Source organism: Homo sapiens, chromosome 6, assembly GCF_000001405.40.
Source record: "Homo sapiens chromosome 6, GRCh38.p14 Primary Assembly".
NCBI classification, from domain to species: domain Eukaryota; kingdom Metazoa; phylum Chordata; class Mammalia; order Primates; family Hominidae; genus Homo; species Homo sapiens.
The window spans coordinates 167,398,727-167,403,355 of record NC_000006.12 but is presented as its reverse complement, the minus strand read 5'-3'; the positions used below and the strand labels follow the sequence as shown (position 1 = coordinate 167,403,355).

The 4,629-nt window shown below is 51.2% G+C and overlaps 1 annotated feature.

Annotated features, from left to right (window-relative positions):
- Positions 2,201-2,880: an enhancer, noted in NCBI's record as "H3K4me1 hESC enhancer chr6:167813964-167814643 (GRCh37/hg19 assembly coordinates)". NCBI's record gives its function as "activates a minimal SCP1, AML or CMV promoter by ChIP-STARR-seq in naive H9 embryonic stem cells {active_cell/tissue: H9 hESC(naive)}" and the evidence as "EXISTENCE:reporter gene assay evidence [ECO:0000049][PMID:30033119]".

The following is a 4,629-nucleotide window of genomic DNA, read 5'->3' as shown; positions in this document are numbered from 1 at the left end:
TTCTTTTCCCTCCCTCCCTCCTTCCTTCTTCTTTCCTTTTCATTCCTGAAAATAGAAAGACTGGCCAGATATGGGATGGGGGGATTTTCAGATAGTTACGTATTGAATTTTGAGCCACTATGGACTTCTGACCATACTATTTTGCAATCCTTTGTAGGGATGGCACTAGTTCCATTATTTTAAAAATATCTTTCTTTCTAATTATATACACCTAGAACAATTAAGGATTGTTATTATATACCTTCCCAGTATTGTAATAATATTGGGACAGTTGAGCTGGGAGGCTGAAGGACAGGGTTGGGGAGATATGTCACTGTAATTCCCTTTGTACATTTTGAATTTTGTTCCAAGTCAGTGCATTTACCACAAGCCTTAGTCAGTTGTGTGCTGCATAACACACAACCTCAGGCTCACACATAACACACAACCTCAGACTCACACATAACACACAACCTCAGGCTCACACATAACACACAACCTCAGACTCACACATAACACACAACCTCAGGCTCACACATAACACACAACCTCAGGCTCACACATAACACACAGCCTCAGGCTCACACATAACACGCAGCCTCAGGCTCACGCATAACACGCAGCCTCAGGCTCACGCATAACACGCAGCCTCAGGCTCACGCATAACACGCAGCCTCAGGCTCACGCATAACACGCAGCCTCAGGCTCACGCATAACACGCAGCCTCAGGCTCACGCATAACACGCAACCTCAGGCTCACGCATAACACACAACCTCAGACTCATAGCGGCTGGTGACAATTGGCCCTTCTCTTTCTCACCTGGCTCAGTGGGTTGACTGGACAGCGTGGCCTCAGGCTGTGGGTCAGGAGCCCCAGACCCCAGGCTGGGCTCAGGTTTCTCCACGTCTCGTCCGGACCCACCCGGAAGGGACAGCAGCTGTCTGGGGCATGACCTCCTTGTGGTGTGCTCAACAACAGGAAAGGTTGACCTGCTTGTGCTGGCTCGTTTCTGGCCCTCCCCTCTCAGGCCAGCACAGCCCATTGGCCAAACATTAGGAGGTGAGGGGTATGCTCCCCACGCTCACAATTGCAGGCCCCCTAGCCGAGGGAGGACATGGAGAGGGGAGGTGTGTGAGCCATTCTAGCATGTGCGGTAAAATGAAAGAGCACAGAAGTCAATAAAAAGCTTAAACAATTAGGGGTAAACCGGCAGCAATGTTAATAATGTCCCCTCACCTTCTCACCGCGCTCCTGGGCCAGCCCTCACCAATGATGCCAGAATCCCAGTGACTTAGAATTGATAAATGCCCCTCCGGTTCCTCCTTCTCCAGAAGGAAACCCATGCTCAACTAAGCCTCACTTCCCTCTGCCCGTCCCCATCCCTGACGGGTTCTGTGAGTCTCCCTCTCTCCCCCACCAGGATGCAGCAGAACTGAGGACTGGGAAGTTCCCATGACAAACGCTCATGTGAGGTGAAGCCTGCAGCGAGGCCGTGGTGAGGAGTCCCCCAAAGGCAGGGGTCTCTCTCGGAACAGAGTGCCCTGGCATGTCCCCGGGACAGAGATAGCACAGACTCCGCAGTCCGGAGGTGGACTCCAGGCAGAGCCAGCATGTTCGAGGGGAAGTGAGTAAGTGCTGCTGTGAGGGCAGCCGACTGTGGCTCCCTGTGTGCAGAGGCCTGGCTGCTGGCTGCAGCCTTCCTGAGTGGGTCACGTGCGCCACTTGCCTGGCTGTTGGCTGCAGCCTTCCTGAGCCGGCCACCTGTATTGCTTTCCATAAAGCACAGCCCCACCTGGTCACACTGGGTAAACACGGGTTCCTACCAGCTCCTGCCAATTGCCCCCAACACGAATTTCATCAGCTAAAGGTCGGGAAATGATGCTCACTAAACACTTTATAGCAGCAATTTGGAGGAGGTCACAAGGGCTGCCTTTTCCCAGACTCTTCTCTCGAAAACTCATGTGTGTTTTTGTACCTGATTTTAGTGCAATCCCACCCTGACGCATTAGCAAAGGAAAAGGCGTCAATCCTATAACTTTCTGCGTGCTGACGGCATGAGATCCTGTCTCTCAAGTCAGATTTTTTGCATGCTGTGGGAAACATTATGAAGTAAGCAAGTTTTCTTTTCTCCCCAACTTCCTAGATCATAGGAATCAGGTAACTGCCTGAAAAACAGCCGCGGTCTGCCGCTGCTGGACTTCAATGTCCCCCCGGCTGGAGTCTGCCTGTGCACATCTCCAACCAGTTCCCAGGTGGTGCTGTGTATGGAGAGGGGCCGTCTGTGCCTCTGGAGCCTCCGGAGCATGTCTCCTGACCCCTGGAAAACAGCTACCCTGGTGCAGCATCTGCAGGCGCTGGGTCCAGCACAGGTTTCTCAGTTCCAGGCCACACAGAGTACATCAGAGCATCTTGCGTGAAGCAGACAAATCCGCATCTGCAACAGGCTCCAAACACGACCCACATCCCGGCCCCAGGCATGGGGCTAGGGCCCAACTGAGCTGGGCAAGATCAGTTATTCGTTGTCTTCAGAATTCATGTTTGTAAAATGCGGGACCCATGTCTTGGAGGGGTGACAGGAGCAGTGTTTAGAGCATAGCACAGGGCCCGTGCCCATCAGGCGTTATTGCTGTGAGCTGCCTTTATTCGTGCTCAAGTTATCGAATGTGAACAAGTTTAGTGTCAAAAACAAGAAGTCCAACACCGTGATGCAGGATTCATCGAATGTGGGCGTCCCTGCCACCTCTCCACTGGCCCCTGTGACAGTCGATGCCTGATGTCACCTGTCAGTTCAATGTGTAAAAGCACAAAAGTAGATTCCTGAATTGTGTCAATGCCACAGAACGGAAGGGGATGGTGCTGCAGGTTATTCCTGTGTTTCTAGGAAGGCAACAACTGGATAGAATCGGGCAGAATGGATTTTGTCTAGTGTTTGATGGAAATAATAACCCCACATGGCTTGTCATACACACAAAATGCAGAGAAATATGCAGCGTTCTGGAGTGTCCTGCACGCTGTCACATGGGACCCCCATCCACTCTTCCTATCAAAAGGCTGATGGATCATGGTCTCTGCAGATGCAGGAACTGAGCTCAGAGAGAGGCCGTGTCTTCTCCAAGACCCCCAGCCAATGAGAGGGACCCAGGCCTGAGCACAGGTTTCTGAATCAGAGTCCTGCCTCTCACCTTCTCAAACGTCCTTGCTTCCCTTCCCACCAAGTTTTAATTGAGTGCACCAGGATTGCGGTCTTCCAAAGGCATTTATGTGATTGCCTTTTCCTCTTCGATTTCTCACCAGTTAGCTTATAAATGACAAAGTCTGCCCCGTGGAGAGAGCGTTCTTTAGATTTTAATAGAAAGACATCAACATCGCCATGAAAAGATGAAGACAATGAAAATAATTATTTAGTAGGATAATAAACGGAATCTGGGCAGAGTCGTGCTGAGCAGCTATGACTTGCATCAGCGCATCATGGACTGGCAGCAACTCACTGCGCAGAATGTCCGGGCCACAGGCTTGGGCTCCCCCGACACCCCGTTTCCCATGGGCATTTTCCCTACTGGGGACTAACATCAGATGGGTTCACACTCGTGAAAGACGCTCGGCACCAAGAAACAGGTGCCTGCAGGGCTGGTGCGACACAGGGACTCTGTGGTGTAGTATGTGTGGCTGGTCGGTGTATTAGCGAGGATGGGGACACGGGTGTCCAGTAAGGAGTGCTTGAACGAAGGTCCTTGATTCACAAAACAGGAACAGTGCTGACCGCCCGCCCTCCTTTATCCCAGGAAGAACTCCAACTGACATAGTTACAAACAGCATGGAATCCAAACCTTACCCTCATCACACCGTAAATAACATCTTTGTACAGCACTTTATGATTTTTAAGTCACCTTGGCATATAAACATACATTTCTTTTACATAAACACATGTGCATATGAAGAGGATATGTGTGTGTGTTCACAAAAGTCACGTCTATATATAGGACATGGGGCTGGTTTTGGTAAAGCCCCTTGGAGAAGGGCCTAGGTGGGAGTCCTGGCTCAACCCCCAGGTCAGCTACTTGTCTTCGGGTCTGACCCTGAAGCCAGCTTCCCACATCCCCACCCTAAATTGTATCAGGGATCCTGAGAAGACTAAGGCAGTATGGGGCTCTCCCAGCAGGGAACCTGTTCCTAATTCAGAGCTTTGCACCCAGGGCCTTTGGGCGTCTGTGTGCCTGCTGTGGATGGGAGACCCTGCCCCTGCATCTTCCACGGAGAGGGTACGTAGCTTTCGGCAGACCACAAGACGCTGGAAGTGAAGGACACCCCTCCTTTATTTACTCTGAAAGTTCTGTTTGCCTCACTAGAATTCTGCATCATAAGAACTCCCGGACTTGTATGGCCCCACTGTGATGGCTGGATCTCAGCTCCCCACAGCCCCTCTGAGGCAGCCAGGGCAGGTGTCCTTATCCCCTTTGTATCTGACTCCTCCAACAACCCTCAGGGTCAATGATCCACTAGAAGGATTCACAGAACCTTACCATTTATTACAGAAAAGGACATAGATTAAAATCCGCAAAGGGAAAACGTACTTGGGACAGAGTCTAGGAGAGACCAGCTGTGAGCTGCCCACTGTCCTGTCCTGAGGGAGCCACGAATGCACTTCATTC